We start from the raw sequence: 23057 nt of genomic DNA, 5'->3' as shown, positions 1-23057 counted from the left end.
GTTAAGTCTGTCTGTATGTTCATCCATCCATCCATCCATCAATACATCCAGTATTTACTAAGTGTCAGCTATGTGCCAGGCACTGTGCTAACATAAATTCTGGAGTCAGAGTTTGTCAGGAGAGAAACTTAAAATCGTGCAAGTGTGCTAGGTACCATGATAGTGATGAACGTGCGGTGCTGCAGGAGCACAGAGGTCACTTTGTGCTCTATCACAGAATCCCTAAAAGAGTCTTAAAAAAGGAAACATACATGTTCTTCATGCAGTAATTATGCAGAGTCCCATTGTAGTGTACAGTGTGTAGAGATAACACATACTTTATGTATATATTCGGTTTTATATATATACTAAATTAATTCATTGAAAGTGAACGTCCTATCCATATAATTTTGCTCATGTTTTTAGGATTCATAAGTGGTTTTGGAGAGTGAATAAGGTCAGATGTCTTAAAAACAAAAAAGCAAAACCAAAAATTGAATGTAAGCCTTCCTTGTTGTGAGGAACACAAGTTGTTGTAATCCTTCTCATTGTGAGGATTTGTTTTTCCTTTGTCATTACAAGTGTAATTCAGTTACAGTGCAGAAAAGAGAATTACAAAGAGCTCTTATTGCATGATTTTCCTACTCAGAGACAATCATCAGCAACATTTTAATTTTTGCTCTTCCTGTTCTTTTCTATCCTAAGATCCTTAAATTTTTTTTTAAAATAAAAATGGAAGCACTGTTTGACACGAAGTTAAGCAACTCCATGATCAACATCCTTATACACATCTTTTTATATAGTTACTTAGCAATTCCTGAATCACAAGGTAAGGCACACATTCATGGCTTTGTAGAGAGGTTTCCTGTAATAAGCTGTGCCATATAAGAGCATTTCATTAAAGAACCTTCCCAAAATTAGCCACTGCTGTATTGAGAGGATTTGGAAAGAGTTCTGATGAATTTGGCCCTTTAATCTTTTCAGTGCTTTACACCAGTCCTTCCTCTGTAGTAGCAAGGAGAACCCTGAAAGATAAAGTAGTGAAAAGGCATTTTAAGAGGTGCGAAAGGGAGGACAGAGTGATAGATTAGTTATATACTAGCCTAGGGTTTTTTGTTAACTCCAGCTACCTGAAATCACCTCAACTCTTACCTCTTTGCTGCCTCCTTAAACCATTTCCAGGTGGTATTTTGGTGCAGATAATAATACATGGATAAAATAATAAGTATTAATTAAAAACCTGTATCTGCAAAGTGATGAAATATTTTTTAAAACGAGGGCTGTCTGTACTTTCTTAGATACTAATTCTGTAATTTGGTCAGTGTCATCTAATGGTAACTAAATTCCTGTAATTTGACAAACAGATTGAAAGATGATGGCATCCATTTCATCACATGCTTTTTTTAATAAGAATTCTATGTGGCATATATATTAGTAGTATGAACAGAACTCTTAAAAGATTTAGTTTTCACTGGTATTACTTTTTAAAGAAATATAAACTTTAATATAATTAGCTTTTTTTCTCATTACATTAAATTGCTGCTGTTAATCACCAGATAAGCTACTGTCAATTGTCCTCATTTTCGAAGAGTTTGAATTTGCCCTGAAGTTTTTCATAGAGTTAGACCTCTTGGGTCTGGTTTCTTTTTCAGTTCGCTTGTTATTTGAATGAAGGATGTCTTTTGAGGACATTTTCCAAAGTGGTTACATGAGTGATATATTTTCCAAGTGTCTCTGTAAATAGAAATGTTTTACTGCTTTTGTGCATATGAATACCTAAGTTCTGTAACATTACTCCACTGTCTTCTGGTGTTTAATGTGCAGAGAGGTCAGTGTGATGCCTTCTTTAATTATGGCTTCTTGTTGATTTACTTTAGAGGTTGTTCCCGCCTTCCTGAATAGGCCACAAAGGGCTGAGACTGGAGTAGACACTGTAGAGATTAGACACAAGGAGCTTACTGTGCAGTTTTCTCAGAAGGCTCAGAACAGAGAGGAATAAAAGCAAGTCTAAAAGTATTTTAGTTGAAAAGAAATTGGAACCTGGTTCCTCTTGGTCTTCTGATTTTGATCCACAAAGAAGCTGACACAGTTTACTTCTTTATGGGAAGGTAAGAGATTATATTTACCTGCTTTGAGAATATGATCTTCTACTTTAGCAGTTTGAGAATTGATCTTACTACCAAAAAGAATTTTACAGTTTAAATAGTATAAGGTGTGTATAGATAGATAGATAGATAGATAGATAAAAATAAGGTGAAAGACAAGAAAGTGTTTTCTTGTTAGTGAATTCAAATTGTTCTGCCTTGTTAGATACAAGGCAGAAACTGCTGTTCAGTTTTTTTAACTGGTATCAAAACTCTGTATCAAAATATTCAAAGGACCGATAGAGAGTATTTGGAGAGTTCTTTTGAATTTGGCCTTTTAATCTTTTCAGTGCCCTACACCAGTCCTTCCTCTCTTCAGTAGCAAGGAGAGCCTTGAAGGATAAAGTAGTGAACAGGCATCTTAAGGAGTCTGAAAGAGAGGACTGTTACACATTACAGAAATCAGTTACAGAATATAGAAATGTTTTGATTTCAAAACTTCAGGATGCACAGGCCTTAATATTAGATGGGAACGTTCAGCTGGTTCAAATGTACAGAACGTTTTGGGTTTGCATGTCTACTCTATAAATAAGGTAGAGATAAGGCATTTCTTTAGTTATACCAGCTTTCTCTTATTCCATACTGGTAGAGGTTACCCTTCTAAAAAAAGGAAAATAAATTCATTTTCATTATTTATTACTATGTACTTTCCTCCCAAAAGAGGTAGGTAAGAAATCTCTTATGGGGGTCCCAAGTTTGTGGACATTGTACATTGTGGGCCTGTGGTTATATTTATGACTCTGGAGTCATCTCTCAAGAGAGTTCGGGAGACTCAGTTCTCTGTTACTCTGCTTTAGTTTATGGAGGACTAAAGAAGACCAAAGCATCATATTGTCATTGTGTCTTTTCCTTGTAATTTTTTTTCCTCCTGTTAACAAGGGGCACCATGAGTCAATACTTACTGTCCTACCATAAAGTATTTAGAAGTATCTTGTCTCTCGCAGCTAGTTGTCTTTTAAATTTACCTCAGAAGCAGCATTGGGTTTCCATGAATACAGACCACCTCTTTTGCAAAACCAAGATGTTAAACTGAATACAAGTTTTAGATTGGTATAAAATAACATTTTCATTTAAAAAAGGATTTAGGAGAATTTTTTCGTCTGTAAAAAGTATAAGCAGTCCCTGAATATATCAGTAACAAGACTGCTTACACTGAAAATTGTTATAAATTTCCATGAAAGGCAGTCCTTAGTTAATAGCTTCCAGCATTGTGAAATTCTAGGCCAATGGAACTAGGAGGTTGGAACGTGGTAAACCACTGTTTTGTCTCCAGCTTCAATTAGGCCTTCAGTACTGCGTAGGACCTGCACCCACCCCAGGTTTCCTCAGCTCCCCGAAAGTCGATTTCAGACCTACAGACCTTTTTTCACTCTTCTAAAGCCTTACCTTGTTTTTAAAACTACCTCCTTCTCATTCTCAGCAGTAGGTAGTTGATTTCTGCTTTCCTAAGTTTTAAGTTGTTAAATGAAGTAATGTGAAAAAAGTATTTATCTTAAATTTTTTTTATTTACCTGATGTTGACATTTGCCATATTTACTTTTTCTTTCACACACACATATTTTGCCAAGCCATTTAAGTTGCAGACATTGTGATTCTTATAAACACTTCAGCATGTTTCTCCTCAGAACAATGGCATTCGACTGGGAGCAGTGGCTTATGCCTGTAATCCCAACACTTCTGTAATCCCAACACTTCAGGAGGCCGAGGCGGGTAGATCACCTGAGGCCAGGAGTTTGAGACCAGCCTGGCCAACATGGTGAAATCTTGTCTCTACTACAAATACAAAAATTAGCTGGGCATGATGGTGTGTGCCTGTAGTCCCAGCTACTCAGGAGGCTGAGGCAAGAGAATTGCTTGAACCTGGGAAGTGGAGGTTGCAGTGAGCTGAGATCCCCCCATTGCACTCCAGCCTGGGCAACAAGAGTGAAACCCTGTCTCAAAAAACAAAAAACAATGGTGTTCTTCTACATAGCTAAAGAACAACGATCATACTCAAGAAACTTAGCATTAATATAATGCTGCTACCTTGTGTATAATTTAATATTCTCCAGTTGTTTTGGTGTCCTTTACAGCTTTTTGTCGGATCCAGGTGTTATTCAAGGATGATGCATATTGATAGCTGCTTTTAAACTAGTCCCTCAGCCTTTTTTGTCTTTCACGACATTGACATTTTGCAGTGCCCAGGCCAGCTGCTGTTCAGTGTGTCCCTCCATTCAGATTTGTTAGCTGCTTGTTTCCTCAGTTAGACTCAGGTCGAATGTTTTTGGTAGGAATACTTTCAAGGTGATGTGTTTGAGCATTTATCAGTAGACACATGGTACCAGCTCTGTCTTTTAAGGGAGTGGTAGTTTGACTGCTTAGTTAAGGTGGTGTCTGCCAGGTTTTTCCATTGTAAAGGTACCCTTTATCCTTTGTAATTAGTGAGAAATCTAATACTATGTGAATATCTCATTCCTTACCTTTCACTCAGTGGTTTTAGTACACAGGGCTGAGTCTTACTTTAGTTATTATATTGGATATAAATGGTGATTTTCTATTTCTTTCACTTTCTGTAATTGTTATTTGGCTTTTGGAAAGAAGAGCTTTTCTTCTCTTAGAAACTGATTTTTTTTTAAGCATCAGCTGGACTGATTGTTTCTTATTCTGAAGTCAATGTATTATAGTCCATTCCAGTCATGATTCATTTTGGTGTTGAAATTGTCCAAAATTTGCCCAGTAGAATCCCCTTCAAGGTAGCTCCTGTCTTTTTAAACTATTTTGTTTGGAAATATTTCAAACTTATAAAAAATTGCAAGGATAATAATACAAAGGGCCACTCATATATCCTTTTTCCAGATTACCTACTGTTAACACTTTATGCTATTTGCATCATCATTTGCATGCTCTTTCTATACATACACAGTATTTATTTTTTTCCGAACCATTTAAGACTAAGTTGTATACATCACCACCCTTTACCCTTAAGTATTACAGTGTATATTTCCTAATAGGGATATATTTTGTTACATAACCAAAGTATATTGTTAACTTGAGTAAATTTAACATTGATTTAGTATTTATGTCTAATCTGCCCTCCATATTCTAGTTTTGTTAGTTGATCTAATGTTCTTTTTAGTAATTCCTTTCTAGAACAGAATCCAGTCTAGGATTGGGTATTGGCTTTAGGTACCAAGTCTTTCTAAACTTTTCTGGGATATTTACACAGCTCGTATTTTTTATGACATTGACATTTTTGAAGAAAAGTCTGCTTCCCCTGCCCTGCCCTTCAAAACATGCTTCTCACTTGGGGCAGTTTCTGGTGTGTCCTGCTGGTTGGATGCAGGGTATGCATTTCAGGCTAGGGACAGTAAGTGATGTGCTTTTCTCCGGGCCTCATATCTGGAGGCACTGATGTCTATCAGCCCTCAGTGGTAATTCTGATTTTGATTTGATAAGCAAAAAGAAATTGTATCCCCCTAGATTTAGTGTCCATCCATTGATGGTGCTTGCTAGAACCAGTCTTTAGTATGATGGTTATAAGAACTGTCTTCTAATTCCAGCATTCCTTCTGCATTTAAGCAATTGGCAGTCAGCATTCTGCAGCATCCTTTGCCCCATTTACTTATCATTGGTATGAATTCATTAATTTCTGTTTTTCTCCAGTGGCTTTGGTTCATTTCTGTCCTTACTTTGTTGCTCAAATGGTCTGATTTGGCCTAGTGACTAGCTTTTGTATCTTTTGACATGTCATTTCCTTACTTTTTTTATTTACTTATTTACTTTTGAGACCTAGTATTGCTCTGTCACCCAGGTTGGAGTGCAGTGGCGCAACCTCAGCTCACTGCAACCTTCACCTCCCGGGTTCATGCGATTCTCCTGTCTCAGCCTCCCAAGTAGCTGAGATTACAGGCATATGCCACCATGTCCAGCTAATTTTTGTGTTTTCAGTAGAGATGGGGTTTCACCATATTGGCCAAGCTGGTCTCGAACTCCTGACCTCAGGTGATCCACCTGCCTCGGCCTCCCAAAGTGCTAGAATTATAGGCGTGAGCCACCATGCCCAGCCTTATGTCATCATTTCTTGAGCACTCCTTTCTGCTTTCTAGCACAACACATGTATCTGTATTTCTATGTCTCTGTCTATAAATATATGTAAACCTTGAGTTTACACTGATACATCCAGTTTTAAAATTTCATGGTTCATTTTAGTTTTACTTATACTGGCTTTTTGGATGATGAGAAACCTGGTGGCTCCCATGATCCTTAATATAGTGACTTGATCAAAGCCCTATGTGTGACTAATTCCCATTACTGTTGCTGCCTCCTCTTCTGGAGGGAGCCCTTTTTCTTGGGCTCTCTCACCCTCCTATGGATGCTTGCTTGCTCCATAGGACTGGATTGTTCAGAAAGGGAAAGAAGGGTAAAAAAAAAAGAAAAACCCAAACCTATCCATTTTTAAATACTTTCTTATGTTCTGTTGTTTTTTTCTTTGAGACAGTCTTGCTCTGTCACCTAGGCTGGAGTGCAGTGGTGCAATCATGGCTCACTGCAGGCTCAAACTCCTCGGCTTAAGCAATCCTCCCACTTCAGCCTCCCAAGTAGCTGGGACTACAGGCTCATGTCACCGTGGCTAGCTAATTAAAAAAATTTTTTTAATTTTTTATTTATTTATTTTAAGAGATTGGGGTTTCACTGTGTTGCCCAGGCTGGTCTTGAACTCCCAGGCTCAGGTAATCCTCCCAAAGTGCTGGGATTACAGGCATGAGCCATTGCACCTGGCCCCGAATACTTTCTTACTTTCTGGCACAAGTTTTTCTAGGAATGTCTAGTAAGTATTAAAGATATGGCTTTATTCTCACCATTATATAGCCTGACATACTGGCTGAAGAGTGGGGAGAAAAAGTCAAAGTCAATGTAAAACCTTAGGTTCAATTATGGCTAGACAGACAGACTTTTACTACAAGTATTTTTTTTTAGTATTCAGAAAATTTTTCTTTGGTACCTCTTTTTAAGTACACATAATATTCAAATTAGGCAGAGAAGTTAGTTTAGCATGATTGCGCTGCAGTAAAATTTTGTAGGATTTTCAGTGGGATAAGGTGAGAACCAAGTTGAAAAGCAGGTATTAGAATTCAAGTAGGCAACATCTTCCTTACATTATCTGAAACCAGAGGGCATCTGTGGAGTTCTGGTTAGCATATCATTTTTTATTTAGAAAATATCCTAAGTAAAATTTAAAGGAAGGAGGGCATTCCAGATCTATATCTAGAAAAACCAAGGTCTTCAGAATATGAGAGGATGCTGAAAGAAATGAAGAGTTTGGATGAACATTTTTTTCTTCCAGACCAAAAACTATCTAGAGGTATATGCACTAAAATAATGTCAAAGTACTTTTCATGCTAGAGGTATCCATCAACTATATAACCTTGAGCAACTTATAACTTCTCTGTGCCTTGGTTTTCTCATCTGTAAAATTGGAGTAATTCTACTTATCTTAAAGGGTTGTGAGGATTAAATGCATTTAAAGTGGTAAGAACACTGCCTTATACATAGCCCTGTGTTTTCATCCTCATAAAAGCTGAAAATAAGGTTCAAGTAGTATTTTGATACTACTTATAGATCTAAAATGGATCAGGGAAAATATGTGATTACTTGATGTATGTTATTTTTATAGCTGAGATTATACAAGACAGCTATCATAATCTCCCTTAGGTAATGCCACTGTCAAAGATAATGAAGAACTGGGTGGATCACTGGTGAGAATAGAAGTGTAAAGTGTTGCTTTTTATTAAAATATGATTTACTTGGTTGCTTTCAAAGAACCCAATATAATTTTCTTTGTAAAATGATTTTGACACGAAGTAGCAGAAAAAGCTCCAAACATTAGAATATGACCAGTGTCCTGGCTTCACAGTTAAACTATCTTTGCTCAGTTTCCCTACTTGCAAAATAAAGTGAAGTAAAATCAAAACTCTGTGGTTCTTTCCAGCTCTTAACATTCTGTGATTCTTATTTTTAGCCCTCTCCTAAAATAATGCTGTCATCTTATAAGAACTTCAACAGACTTGAGGTCTTATTGCACAAGCACTTTTTCTAAGATGAAAACATACCAGCATAGTGGTAGAGTTCTCTACTTTCTAGTTTTCTTGCAAAGCTTGACTTGATGCTTATTGACGTAGCTCCTAACAGGAACTTAAAAACACTCCTTTTTCTTAATTATTTCAGCTGACTCCTTTTCCTACTGTGGCATTCTGTTATCTGAAGTCAAACGTACCTGAATGTGTCCTATTGTGTTACTCAACTCACTTCTGAATATGGTTCTGTTTTGCATACCACCAACCCACATAACCATTTCTGAATCTCTTGTTTCACACTGCTCCAGTGACAACTTGATTCACAGGCCGAACTAGTGAGGTAAGAAAGTAAGTTTGCCAAGTTTGTATAATCAACTTTGTTATAAAATTAAGGTAAACTATATATGGTTTAAATACACATAGACACACACACATGTACATGGCTGAAAGCTTGATGGAGTTGGATTTTTGGATTCACCTGAATAGCACCACTGAAAAGATGACTTTAAAATTTTTTTTTCAGAATTGCGGCGAGCAGTAAGAAGCAGCGTGTGGAAAAGGGAGACGATTGTTCATCAACATGAGTATGGACCAGAAGAAAACCTAGAAGATGACATGTACCGTAAGACTTGTACTATGTGTGGCCATGAACTGACATATGAAAAAATGTGATTTTTTAGTTCAGTGACCTGTTTTATAGAATTTTATATTTAAATAAAGGAAATTTAGATTGGTCCTTTTCAAAATTCAAAAAAAAAAGCAACATCTTCATAGATGAATGAAACCCTTGTATAAGTAATACTTCAGTAATAATTATGTATGTTATGGCTTAAAAGCAAGTTTCAGTGAAGGTCACCTGGCCTGGTTGTGTGCACAATGTCATGTCTGTGATTGCCTTCTTACAACAGAGATGGGAGCTGAGTGCTAGAGTAGGTGCAGAAGTGGTAGGTCAGCTACAAATTTGAGGACAAGATACCAAGGCAAACCCTAGATTGGGGTAGAGGGAAAAGGGTTCAACAAAGGCTGAACTGGATTCTTAACCAAGAAACAAATAATAGCAATGGTGGTGCACCACTGTACCCCAGGTTCTAGTCATGTGTTTTTTAGGACGATTTCTGTCTCCACGATGGTGGAAACAGTGGGGAACTACTGCTGGAAAAAGCCCTAATAGCAGAAATAAACATTGAGTTGTACGAGTCTGATCATGTTTTCTGTACTCTTGGGGCCTCTATTGTGGGACTTAACATTAGTCTAGATAGCTTTTTAAATGCTGGATTAAAATGGAAAAGAGCTGTTTTCATGGTTGACTATCTGATTGTTGATCAAAGAAGGCACTGATGTTTATTTTAAGTAGTGCTAACATTTACTGAGCATTTACCAACCAGGTGCCAGGCATGCACCTAAGTGCCTTAGGAGTATGTTCATTTAGTCCCAGGCTTGCTTCCATGCTGCTTTCAGACTTCTAAGGAAAGGAAGGTGAAGTCTCACATCACCGCAGGCATCTGCATCAACTTTAGTGAAATTTTCCTGTAGCTTGTCAAAAGAATTATTGGGTCTATGCATTATTTTTTGACAAAAACAAATTCCAGTTAGTTAAAATAACCTGATATTTTCAAATTGTTTGACATGACATTTTATCCTACTGTACAAATAGAATAGGAAGTTTAAACATTTCCATTTTTTTTTCTTTAATGGAGATTATGCTTGGAGAAAGGCTAAGTCAAAACAAGTCATGTCCAAATAATTCAGACTACACAGAAATGTTTGTGTATTTTTCAAGTTTGATTTTTTTTTAAACACCTTCACACTCAATGACTAATACGTGCTATGCTAAATATTACAGCTTAGTAAAAATTGATTCTGAATGGGCAGCAAGATGTCTCTGGGGAAAAAAGCTTTCAGCTTGATGACAACAGATGATGACAACAGAATAACTAGGGGTTCAGGTTGTTGTAAGAGCATTATGGGGGCGGGGAAGGAGCTCTTGGGCCAACTGGATCTAGGTTCAAATTCCACTTACTAGCTGTGGACCGTGGGTAAATTACTCCAAAACCTGTTTTTATCTGTAAAGAGGGCATAATCATCTCAAAGGACTGTTTGAAGTAGTTAATAGGGTGAACCTATAGCACCTGGCACATAATAACCACTAGTTAATGAGCATGTATTACCAAGGCCACTATGTTACAGAAAATAGATTTGTCTAGTTAAGGGATGCTTCTATTCACCCTCTACACCCTTACCAGTTTAAGACAATCCTGGTATCCAGAAATCACTAACAGCTAAACCTGCTCTACATAGGTTGGCAAGGTCCCTTCCTCATCTTTCATTTTCAAGTACAGTTATAAATTAGGAAAACAGTATGTTTACTTTGACAAAAGCATGTTAAATTGCACCAGCACAATTTAACAGAATATTTATTGCAAGGTATGATGTACAGTGACATGCCATCTTTTGTCTGTATGAACTTCATTACTGGGGACAGCAACTGTTGAATGTTTGCTCTTACACCTTTATTTCTTCAAAACTCAATTCCTAGTTCAATTTTTCCATACACTAAAGCTGCTAGACTGGGACAGAGCAGGACCACATCAGCGAACAGCTGTTAAAAGCAACCATTATACATGAAGAGAGGACCAAGAGAAAAGAAATTAAAACCTACAAATTTCTCTAGAATGTGGATCAAACATAACTAGCCACACTTTTCAGTACATTGTGAAAAGATTACAAAGCAGTTTTGAGTCAAAGTTACCAATCCCTTAAAGGTTATCCTTTGGTTTTTTGAGACAGGAGTCATTTTAAACTACAGTTGACCCTTGAACAACATGGGGTTAGGGATGCTGACACCCCGCACAGTAAAAAATTTGCATGTAACTTTTGACTCCCCCAAAACTTAACCACCAATAGCCCACTGCTGACTTACCAATAACAAACAGTTGATAAACTCATTTTGTATGTTATATGCTATATATTTTTTTTCTTTTTTGAGACAGAGCCTCGCTCCATCACCCAGGCTGGAGTGCAGTGGCACAATCTTGGCTCACTGAAACCTCCACCTCCCAGGTTCAAGCGATTCTCCTGTCTCAGCCTCCCAAGTAGCTGGGACTACAGCCATGTACCACCACGCCTGGCTAAGTTTTTGTGTTTTTAGTAGAGACAGGGTTTCACTGTGTTAGCCAGGATGGTCTCAATCTCCTGACCTTGTGATCCGCCCGCCTCAGCCTCCCAAAGTGCTGGGATTACAGGCGTGAGCCACTGCGCCCAGCCCATATGCTATATTCTTATGAAGCTAGAGAAAAGAAAATAAAATCATAAGAAAAAAATATATTTACTATTTAATAAGTAGAAGTGGATCATCATAAAGGTCTTCATCCTCATCATCTTCACGTTGAGCAGGCTGAGGAAGACAAGGGGCTGGTCTTGCCATCTCAGGGGTGGAAGAAAACCTGTGTGTAAGGAGACTCACACAGTTCAAACCCATGTTGTTCAAGGGTCAACTGTAATTATATATAATTACATAGTTTGTGCTGTGCTTAAGCAATGGGAAAGATAAACAGTATAAACGAAAACATTTAGCCAAGAACCTGGGTTTTAGTCCTTTACTAACCAGCCACGCAACCTGGATTTTTCTGGATATTTTGTATTTTGTCTTAAATAGTATGGTATTTAAACATTCTAGGAATTCCCATTTATTAAGCAGACTACATTCTGTAGCCACTAAAATGTATGGTAAACCAAAGCAAAAATATATCAAAATATGCAAAACGCTTAATGCATCATAAACTTGGGATGTAATAAGAAAAAATTATACCTATTTTGTGCAAATGCACAACAACACTACCAGTAGTTGTAGGATTACTGGTAATTTTTTTCTAAGGTTTAATGAAAAAAGTCTAAAAATCCTCGAAATTTGGAATGTCAGACAATTCCTCATATTTGTGTATTATTTTACAAACTGCTGTCATCTTATTTCAGCATCAGTACTATACAGGAAACAAGCTCAGGACTTCGTAGTTTTTTGGATCAGGTTCCATATAAACAAAATCTAAACTCACATCTAATTCAGGGTATAGTTTCAGTCAATCTGACCACTTCTACATCCACTTTAGTATTCTGTAACTCACTACAAGACCTTGGACAAATAACCCCAAGGCTAGAGGAAGTGAGTAGATGCTCTAAGATAATGGTGACCAAACCTGGAATCACCTGGGGAAACTTTAAGGATTACTGAGGATGTCTGCGTTCCACCCCCAGACGGTGGTTTAAATTTCAAAATAACTTGAAAGATTCCCAGGTGATTTACATTAAGACAAATTTGAGAGCTACTCTTCCAACTAGTAACACTTTTATTACTAACAAGTCATGTCTTAAAGATACTACTTAAAAATACTTTGAAGATAAAATTTCAAATGGAGAACACCTTCAGTAAGAAACCACCAGTTTTAGAGTAGAGTGAGATGATAAATCATGAAATGCCAAAGTTTAAAAACCATACTTTTAGTTTTATTTCAGCCATGTTAATTCATCCCCGAGCTGTGAAAAGTTATGCTACTGGGTAGCTGGGTAAACCCATCAGTTCTATATACTATGTAAGGTTGACCTCTAGTGTTTCACATACCTCAAACCAATTATTTTGTGCCTTAAGGAGAAAAAAAATAACAAACTGATCACAGAGAATTTGTATCTGTCACATATATAATATATCATGGTCATAGTCACATTACTGCCGTTAGGAAGTATTTGCTTTTCAGGGCAATTAAAAGTAATGCCATGTTCATTCACTGTCCTCTTCCCCTTTGTTTCCTTTAAGAAGTGAAAGGATACTACAAGAAAGCAAGCATTCAAACCATCAAAAAATAAGACAAATTATTTTAAGATATCAAAAAAAACCTTGACATGAGGAAAAAATGACCCTTAGGCCTGCAGGGCACAGAACTGCTGGAACACGGCCAAGATATGAGGGTCTAATTCAGCAGTGAAGAGAAGGTTCTCCAGGGTCACCATGTACTGCTGGATTATTTGGTGATGCTGTGGACACACAAAAGGGGGTAGTTAGGTCAGGAAAAAGCATATAAGCAATCTTGTGGAACATTTCCTTCAGCAGCCCACCCATGCTGCAGAATGATGAAAAGAGGAAGGGGAAAAAAAAGTGCTGATAGGAACAATGGACCCCTGAAAATCCCCAACATTAAAAAAATAAAAAGGGAAATGAAAAAAATGGATGCTCAATAGCTTTTTAAAAAATCCAGTTCTTACCAACTTCTATGTAAACAGAATTCATGATTCAAGGCAGTGGCAGCAGTGCCTGCTTGCTCCTAGTACTATTACGGACTAGGCTCAGCTAGCTCTCTCCCCAGTCAGGGCATAATACATTGTAACTTTTTAAAAAGCAGCCAGACGGACTGACAGGAAGATAAACAGTCAGAAAACGAAATACTCTTGTCTATGTGTTCCTCTATAAGCCATGAATACTCTCAGAGATTCTTATAGGACTAGAGACTGTTAAAGCTTTTAAAACTGGCAGTAACTATAAAATCAGAGGGAATTCCTATTTGGAGGCTCAAAGAATTGAACTTAGAGTGACTTCTACATTAATCATTCTTCTAGAATGAACAAATGAAGATTTAGGGGAGTAGTGTCCGAAGATACAATGAATTAGCTCCACTCTCCTATATACCTTTAACTTAAATCTAGGTGAGAATAGGTGCCGGCATTTTGCTTTTGCAGAGAGACCCCAGGGAGCTTACCTTGATTCTGTGGACAGTTTACCACCTGCACATTGGATAACACTGGCTTTTTAGGGACTTATAAATCCAATTACTGTCCTCTTGATATTTTTGTCCTCTACATTTTATATTACAGCTAGGATCCCCAGCATAGAAAATGACAATTAGGAGACTGGGCACCGTGGCTCACGCCTATAATCCCAGCAGCACTTTGGGAGGCGGAGGCCTCCTGAGGTCAGGAGTTTGAGACTAGCCTGGCCAACATGGTGAAACTCTGTCCCTACTAAAAATACAAAAATCAGGCAGGAGTAGTGACGGGTGCCTGTAATCCCAGCAATATGGGAGGCTGAGGCAGAAGAATTGCTTAAACCTAGGAGGTGGAGGTTGCAGTGAGCTGAGATCGTGTCACTGAACTCCAGCCTGGGCAACAGAGTGAGATGCCATCTCAAAAAAAAGGTGGGGCGGGGGGTTGTTGGGGGGGTGGCAATTAGGAATCTAAGTGGTACAGAATCAGTTTAAGCCTAAATATTCTGATGAGCAATGGTAGCAGCAAATGGACATGAACTAAAGGGTCTAACAGGTACTATATAACCTCCTAACAAATTTGACAAGGATTTTTTTTAATGAAAAATCTTTGTGGCTGAGAATAGTGTTATTACCTAATCGAAGTTCCCCACATACCTGTAGGAAGATCTGCTGCAGCCTCTCTATACAGTTCTTATACCATGGTGTTAATACACTGGTCCCATCAGTTTCGCATCGTACTAGGTGCTCGGTCAAGATCATGATAAACCGCTGGAAAGGGAGAAGAAGTTAAGGTAGTACTACAGACAGAATCTTATACTTTGGAAAAAAATTCATGACAAAGAAACCCCAAAGTATTGCCTGTTCCACCCTGTCTTTGTGGTGTGTGTGCCTAGCTTCCATTATTCATGAAGTCAACCTAGAAGGGCAGACTGGTAATAACATGAGTTGGTACATTCTTCCTGGCAATACATAAAGACCTTTAATGTCTTAAATTACTTATCCTAGTAATATTACTTCCTGGAATCTATTCTAACGAAGTAATCAGAAATTTTAACAGGAATCTATGCATTAAAATGTTCATGGAAGGAAAATGATCAGCAATGAGGAATAATTAAACGAGACATATATAAAAAAAGCAACCCACAATTTTTTTTCAAGCATGGAGAAATGCTCATGCGAGAATACTAAGTAAACAGCAGAGAAACTCAGACATACATGGTTGCCTCTGAGTAGTGAACTTTTATTTCCTTCCTAAATTTTTGTATTTTTAATCTCTTCTATAAATGAATGTGTATTCCTTTTACAATGAAAAATAACATTTTTAAAAACTAAAACTAAAGAAATGTATTGTTTCCTTTTATGTATAAATGTCCCAAGCCAAGATACCTGAAATATAACGAGGAAAAGATTCTTTTGTTCACTCTGAGCAGATTCCACTTTTTCCTGAAGTCGTTCTATTTGTTCCTCAAGAACCCCGTCTTTCCTGTCACTGCTTCTGTCGTCATCATCACTTCGCTATAGAAGGCAAATGAACAAAAGGAAAATACCATTTAGATTCCAGTGTGTTAAATCTCCTCCAGGGGAAGCATTTTACTGTGTCTGGCCAAATGTTAAGACTTATATTCTATAGTGAAAGTACCCCCCCACCCCGCCACCCACACATATATACCTCAAAGTCCTGTTGTGGTTCAGAGACACTGTCTTCTCATTCAGAAATTCCATGGGTTCTTATCTAGGCCAGGGAAATTTAGTGGCACTTGTCTTGGTAACAACATGGGGGGACTTGGCTACAATTTATCACTATTTGACCATTTGAGCAGTAACAACAGGGAGACAGCTTGCTAATCATTCATCTGCTAATGGGCCATACAGAAAAACTGGGCAAGTCCTATGGGCCAAGGCTGCTCATTCTTGTTATAATTTAGAAATGGCTCCAGCCGACATATAATAATTCAAAGTGGGCTGTTTAAGACTTTCTGCTGGCAATGATGGGCTCAATATACTCCTGTAAAGCTTTAATAATCCCTGCCCCCAGCTCACTCTGAAGAGTTTATAGAATTTAATTTTTTCTTTTTAAAGGAAAAGAAAAACAAGGCATGGTTTATTTCCATTTTACAGAGAAAAAAGGCTGAGAGGTTAGATGACTTTCCCAGCATCACCCAGTCAGAAAGTGGCAGAGCCAGAACGTGGCTCTAAGGTGTTACATACCAAGGTACTTTCAGCAAGAAGGTGGCATCACTGAATCTAGAAAGCCTGGTAATTCTTCGAGGTTAATACTTAACTGCTAAGGCCCCATCTACTGATCTCTCCACTTTAAGCAAAATTATCAGAACCCTGCTCTCGGATATCACAGAATCTTGCTTTTCTCTCTATAAACACAGCCCATTTATGAGGTCTGCTCTATGTTCTAGACACGTGGGTACACGACTGTCCTTTCCTAACACCACTCAAAGGTAAGGTTCTAGAGCACTACTACCTAATAGATAGACCTTTCTTCAATGGGGCCAATGTTATATAAATATGTGCAGCCTGTTACGACCGCAACCACACGTTACTACTGAGCACCTGAAATATGGTTGTGTGACCAAAGAACTGAATGTTAAATTGTATTTAACTAAAATAGTCACGTGCAGCTAGTGGCTACTGTGTTGGACAGCACACTTCTAGAAACAGTGTGGCATGAGAGAAAAGTCTCTGGAGTCTGACAGACCTGTGTCAGAACCTAGCTCTGGTCATTTACCAGCTATGCAACCTACTAGCTATGTTACTTAACTTCTCTATGTCTCACTTTATAACATCTACAAAATGAGATGACACCATTTACCTTACAGTATTTCAGGTCTGAGTGTTTATATCCATATATGTATACAGGTATGTCTACATGGAGACTGGTACTCAAACTTGCGAAAGGTTCCTATAGGGCACTAAACTCAACTTTTTTTCACCTTCTACTATGGTAAATATGCATAACACTGGAAAATACTTTCATAATGAATAGTAGTATCATGTTAAGTCACTCACTGCTTCCCTCCAAAATGGCTAAAATACTAAATTAATACTATGAGAAGTATTCCGTTAACTTGGGAATGACTGCCCCATTCCTCCTCACAGTACGGGGAAAGTGTTAAGTATCTATAGTCCTCTCCCTCTTCCCCCAGAGACTCCTACAGAAATACAAGTGTCCTCTTCCCTTCTGCTACTTCCCTTGTGCAAACGTGAGGCCGACCCAGAGATAGTGAACTATGGGAAGTGAAGTTTGTGGCTTCCTGAACTGGTTCATCATGCAGTGTAACAGCACACAACACACTACCTGCTCCTTCCTCCTCTTCTGCTTCTGCATTAAATTGGGCTCAGAAAAATTTCTGCTCTGCATTAATTTGGGCTCAGAAAAAATGAAATATCATCAAGATAATGAACTCTGAATCCTCTCCAGAGTTTCTGGTATATTTTCTTTAACTACTTACAAGTTTACACAAAACTTACCCGTTTGTGTTGCCTAGCAAGTTTCTCTTTAGCTTCTTCCAGCTCTTTCTGGATCTTCAGGACATGTTTGTTCATCTTACGAATTGTAGAGTGCAAAATTTCCCAAACAAACAATCTTAAAGAAATATGGCATTTGGTTACTGTATGTCAAGCTATGGTTACAGAAAATAAAATCTTTCAACTTTTGTAATTTCATTCTTAACAGCTGATACAGCCTTCTGTCCTTGGGGCTGAATTAGTCATCTTTCTCCAGCAATACTTACAAATTGGTCTTTTATTGTAAATTGTGCAAGTATCTATCTTCACACCCATTAGATTCAGGCGAGCCCCCTGAGGGCAGCACTGTGTAGTCATTTTTCTTATTTCCATCCCTTACCAGAGGTACATACTTACTGAATTGAAATGGCAAACTATGATGGACATTAACATTAAAAATGGAAATACATTTTTCCTCTCCTAAATGTAAACATTATGTGTAGAAATTTTCTCAAAATGGTGACCTAACCTGAGACTTATTTCCCATGCTTTATATTATTTAACTAGCACACACTCAGCCAATTATTCTCTTGGAATGTTTAAGAAACTCATTAGTTGATAATAGGTATCAACTGATGGGCTCTAAGAATGAGATAATTATATGTCAGCTTTCTTACTAGCAAATACATACTAAGATCACTTTGTAGGTGCTTTGAAATGTTTGTTGCATAAGTGTTTTTCTTTTAAAAAGTAACTTCTCAGCTACTTTTGTGTCTATAAACTAGGTCTCCTAACCCAGCACAGAATAGTACAGTTGGCCCTTGAACAATACAGGTTTGAACTGTGCAGGTCCATTTACACATGGGTTTTCTTCCACCTGAGTCAATAAGACCAACCCCTCCTCTTCCTCAGCCTACTCAATGTGAAGATAATGAAGATGACCTTTATGATGATCCACTCTCACTTCATGAATGTTTCCTCTCTTATGATTTATTGTAAGAATACAGGATATAACACATACAACACAAATATGTGTTAATTGACTACGTTATCACTAAGGCTTCTGGTCAACAGTAGGCTACTAGTTAAATTTTCCATGCAGTTAAAAGTTCTATGCAGATTTTTGACTGTGTGGGGTGGGGTGGGTGGGGCGAAGTCGGTGTCTCTAACCCCTGTTGTTGTTCAAGGGTGAACTGTACTTCCTTCTACAAATTTTGACCCAAATAATAGTTTAAGTGGAAGATAATAAAACAATCTGTTCATAAAACTCCAAGTCTAGAATGTTAGGAAACAGGACAAAAGAGCAGAGCACTTTAACTCTGGAGGGGGTGGACTATAGTCAGGGAAAGGTTTGCAGAGTTACAAATATTTGAGCTAGGTGTTAAAGAACAGATGGAGCTGTTGAGCACTATACAGATTCCAGAATGCCTGGGTTTGAATGCTGGCTCTGCACTTAGTTGTGTGACTTTGGGCAGGATAAAGCACTCTGTGACACTTCCCTATTCTGTAAAATGTGGACAATAATGGAACCTTCTCTACGGTGATGCGGTAAGGATAAAATGAATTGAAAACGTAAATCACTCAGGACAATGGTTAAAACATACTCGGGTGGTTAGTTTTCTGAGAGTTTACAAATCTGAAAAGGTTCTTCTGTTGTCTTTGTTTATGAAGGCCAACCTGGCCGGTATGACAACCTTAGATCACACCCTATCACCCTAACAATTCAGTATATTTCTGATCAGTGTCCTCTGGCAGTAACAGATACAGTGGAAAAGTTAAAGGTTGTGATGGACTTTTATGTTTTTACAAGTAATTTGCTTTAGTTTCCTGCTTTGTGTCAACTCCTGCTGCCCTGGTCCTATCAGCTGTAAAGTCCGTGAACTTCATAAATAAGAACCAAACAGCAAAAACTTTCTTTCCGTTAGGGGGAATGAGGGCAGAATGAATCTTCTGCATTAAACCTAAGATTATGACTGTGGTGAGAACCCCTTTCCCCCATCCCTCAGGTGTCTTGTTAATCACCAAGCTTTCCTGGATCCCTCCATGATTTACTCTACTTTGACTTTGATTTCTCCTACTTCCTGGTGTGCATTCTAGGTGCCATCCCCACTGAAGCTGGAACCCTTCCCGAGTTCCATCTGGACTAGCTGAGACTCTGCACATAGCTGGCTCTTGCTAGTTTTCTCTCCCAACAGTCTGGATCCTTCAACAGGATTTCTACTTCACTGGCTTAGCCTTGATTCAACTTAAGAGTGTCCCTGCTAAGAGACGCTGCAACCTGATAGGCTGTGTATGTTTCCACTGTCTAGGAATTTTTGCCATGTCCAATCCTACCAGATTGGACCATTAGTATATTAATATCAACCTGGTTTGGACCAGAATTTGAAGCTTATGTATAAGAGACCACACATATATCAATTCTTAGGGAACACAAGTTTCATAAAATAATTTATATTACCTGGTAAAGTCACGAGATAGTTCTGAAGAGAAGATCCAATTTGCTACGGCAGCACAATCAACTATTTGTGTACGAATCATCTTATCCACTAGTACAGCAATCATCTACAATGAGAGAATTATTCAAGTAAATCACACACACACATACACACACATATATATGTGCCACCACACTGCTGCTATAAAAGTAAAATAGGAGGGCTATAAAATTTAGTTTTGGTGGCTATGGAATTGATTGATCAATCTGACCATTAGGTCTTTTTTTTGGGAGACAGAGTTGCTCTGTCACCTAGGCGGGAGTGGAGTGGCACGATCTCAGCTCACTGCAACCTCCACCTCCTAGGTTCAAGCAATTCTCCTGCCTCAACCTCCTGAGCAGCTCAGATTACAGGTGTGCACCACCATGCCTGGCTAATTTTTGTAATTTTAGTATAGACGGGGTTTCACTGTATTGCCTAGGCTGGTCTCGAACTCCTGGCTTCAAGTGATCCATCCATCTCGGCCTCCCAAAGTGCTAGGATTACAGGTAAGAGCCACCACGCCTGGCCTGATCATTAGGTCTTAAGATTTATTCTCCCCTTTGCTTTGCTCTAGCACTACAAGAAACAGGTTGACTAAACAAAAACTCTGAATGGTAACAGTTAAAATTTGAAAAAACTGGCCAGGCGCGGTGGCTCACACCTGTAATCTAGCACACTTTGGGAGGCCGAGGTGGGCAGATCACCTGAGGTCAGGAGTTCCAGACCAGCCTGGCCAACATGGTGAAACCCCATCTCTACTAAAAATACAAAAATCAGCCAGGTGTGGTGGTGGACGCCTGTAATCCCAGCTACTCGGGAGGCTGAGGCAGGGGAATCACTTGAACCCGGGAGGCGGAGGTTGCAGTGAGCCAAGATTGCGCCACTGCACTCCAGCCTGGGTGACAGAGTGAGACTCTGTCTCCAAAAAAAAATTTAAATTTCAGGTACTAATACGTATTCAAAAAAATACATAATTTCAATGAACCCCAGAAGTTAAATGTAAAACAATGTTTTATCATTACACACTCACTGTTTTATGAAATTTATTTAAATGTTTCTTTGTCATACACAATATATATCAAGGTTTGAGAAATCTGGAGCTTGCATTTAGAAACTGGATAGACTAGATAAACCTTTTCCTGAACATTTAAAACATATTGAGATATTATAGTTCAAAACCAAATCATAATAATGCTTACTCTTTCAAGAATGAATGAAACATCATTACTCCCATAGCACTGAAAGAATTAGATCTAAAAACCATTATCTAGGCAGAGTCAAATTTCATGTTTTACAAACAAAACAATGGCAATTAACGGCCTTATTTTTATACCCATACAATCAGAGCTTCAACATGTCTAATTAAATAATTTTTACCTGTGGATGGTTCCTCCAGACCTCAAACATAACTCTTAGCACATGTAACTTTCCTTCATCACTTTCAGCTAGGGTTTTGAAGACTTCATGAAACCTTTTGATAATGATGGGAAAAAAATACCATATATACTTATTCATTAAACATTTTAGTGTTTTCAAAGCCTTTTCAATGTTACTCAATTTATAATGCAATATATAAATGCAAAATAACTAAGTATTAACCATTAAGGATGCAAAAAGTGTGATCACAGATTGATAGTTTTTAAGGAAGCTGTCACAAAATCTCAAGACATTTACAATATACTACCGTTAGCCCAGGGCTACAGTTTAAAAGAATAGGTAAGGACTAAGGAACTGTCTTCAAACATGGTGAAATATTCAAACTGCATCTTCTGTGGGAACCCTGCAAGTAATATAAAGCCTTGGAGACAGAGATGGGGTGAGATGTCCAGTTTCTCTGCTTGGCAGAAGGAAAATCTATGTGCTCTTTCTTCCTTTGGACCCTGTCTGACAAGTTAAAAATACCTGTCTTCAGATGCCAACCTTTGCGTGACTCCCAACAGTGTAGCTGATTCTAATTTCTTCTTACATTGCTTTGGAAAGATATTTAGCGTGGGAACTTCCAACTGCATATGACTGTCCCAAAAACCTAGGTTTTTCACTAGTTTCTTTAAATGTCTATATGAAAAAAAGCACTTACCATGTACATATGCCAACTGTACAAACAGACTGACGGAAGCCTTAGGATATGGATTTCAGCTACCACAAACCCAAACCCACTGTGTCCAATTATACACTATTAAGATCTTCATATTCAACAATCTTAGGTAAAAATTACCATACCACTGGTGTTCACCAAGCAAAATTCCAAACTCTCAAGCAAGGCTCTGTACTCATACATACTTTGCAAGAGCACTGAAGGAGTGGCTGAATGATTTGGCTGCCAAGTGTAGCAGAGTCTGTACAAAGACTTCTATTTTCAATGGGTTAAAACTGAATCCTTCATCTGAAAAATATTTTATAGTAAAACAGAAAAATGTAAGCACAGCAATTCCTTGGTGCCTTACCTCAAATGCTAAATAGATGGTTGCTCACATCTATACACAGATATTTGTGTAATGTTTTTTGGTTCTAATAAACAATAAAAGACCGTCACTGATTTCAAACACTGAAAATATGAAACCACTTGTAATTTTAAGTCTTAGTTTTATGTGACTGTCTTAATTCTATCATCCATTCCTTGAAAAAAAAAAATCACACAGGTTTCCTTATTCATAGCCTCTATTATATTAATACCAAAAAAAAAAAAAAAAAACACTTAAGCTTATGTCTTAAGATGTCTGACAACATCTGAATTTAATGCCATCATTTTGGCTTATTCTTTCTAAACTCATTTTCTCTAATATCATAATACAAATTTCTTAGAGATATCCAAACAAAATCCCAGTAATAAATACCCAAAGGCCACTAATATCTTATTTTGATTCAGTAGTTTTTCTATGTGCATATCCATTTATTGATTCAGGCAACTGTATAAATTATTTTGTCAATTTTCCCACTCTTGCCCAGAAAAACTCCTAGGATTCTGGTTGGAATTACATGGTATATAACTGAGTAAATGTTAAACATTATTATTCTAATAGCTTAACTTGGAGAAAACATCCAACTTTATAACACACCAAGTCTTTCTATTCAGGAACTTCTCTATGGTGAAAGCAGGGGTTAAAAATCCTTGAATGGTAACATATTTCACTTTGTATTTACGATGAAGTTTATATTCTTAAGTAAGCTATATCACAGAAATGTTAGGATCTCTTT

General features: G+C 37.8%; 2 protein-coding genes across 13 annotated transcripts in view, besides 1 other annotated feature; one reads left to right on the top strand and one right to left on the bottom strand.

Annotated features, from left to right (window-relative positions):
• XPA (XPA, DNA damage recognition and repair factor) overlaps positions 1-23057 on the top strand; it is a 42943-nt gene that overhangs the window by 13054 nt on the left and 6832 nt on the right. For 4 of the 8 annotated variants that reach the window (NR_149091.2, NR_149092.2, NM_000380.4 and 1 more), the window contains one exon: positions 8700-9378. Coding sequence is in view for 3 of the 8 variants with exons in the window: in NM_000380.4 (NP_000371.1) it covers positions 8700-8848 (149 nt within the window). In the remaining 5 variants the exon portion in view is untranslated. Of the gene's footprint in view, positions 1-1856; positions 2088-8327; positions 8517-8699; positions 9379-23057 lie in introns of those variants that run through there. The other 4 variants (NR_149094.2, NR_149093.2, NR_027302.2 and 1 more) reach the window with 3 other exon arrangements.
• Positions 8485-8554: an enhancer, noted in NCBI's record as "active region_28674". NCBI's record gives its function as "activates an Ori minimal core promoter by ATAC-STARR-seq in GM12878 lymphoblastoid cells {active_cell/tissue: GM12878}" and the evidence as "EXISTENCE:reporter gene assay evidence [ECO:0000049][PMID:35858748]".
• NCBP1 (nuclear cap binding protein subunit 1) overlaps positions 10539-23057 on the bottom strand; it is a 39928-nt gene continuing 27409 nt past the window's right edge. For all 5 annotated transcript variants that reach the window (NM_001351504.2, NM_001351506.2, NM_002486.5 and 2 more), the window contains 7 exons: positions 22143-22245; positions 21240-21333; positions 19844-19947; positions 17410-17524; positions 15313-15441; positions 14581-14694; positions 10539-13201 (listed from right to left, as the gene is read on the bottom strand). In NM_001351504.2, coding sequence (NP_001338433.1) covers positions 13088-13201; positions 14581-14694; positions 15313-15441; positions 17410-17524; positions 19844-19947; positions 21240-21333; positions 22143-22245 — 773 coding nt within the window. In that variant the 3' untranslated portion in view covers positions 10539-13087. The remainder of the gene's footprint in view (positions 13202-14580; positions 14695-15312; positions 15442-17409; positions 17525-19843; positions 19948-21239; positions 21334-22142; positions 22246-23057) is intronic.

The sequence above is a fragment of the Homo sapiens genome, chromosome 9 (genome assembly GCF_000001405.40).
Source record: "Homo sapiens chromosome 9, GRCh38.p14 Primary Assembly".
NCBI classification, from domain to species: Eukaryota; Metazoa; Chordata; class Mammalia; order Primates; family Hominidae; genus Homo; species Homo sapiens.
This window is presented reverse-complemented; position numbering and strand designations above follow the sequence as displayed.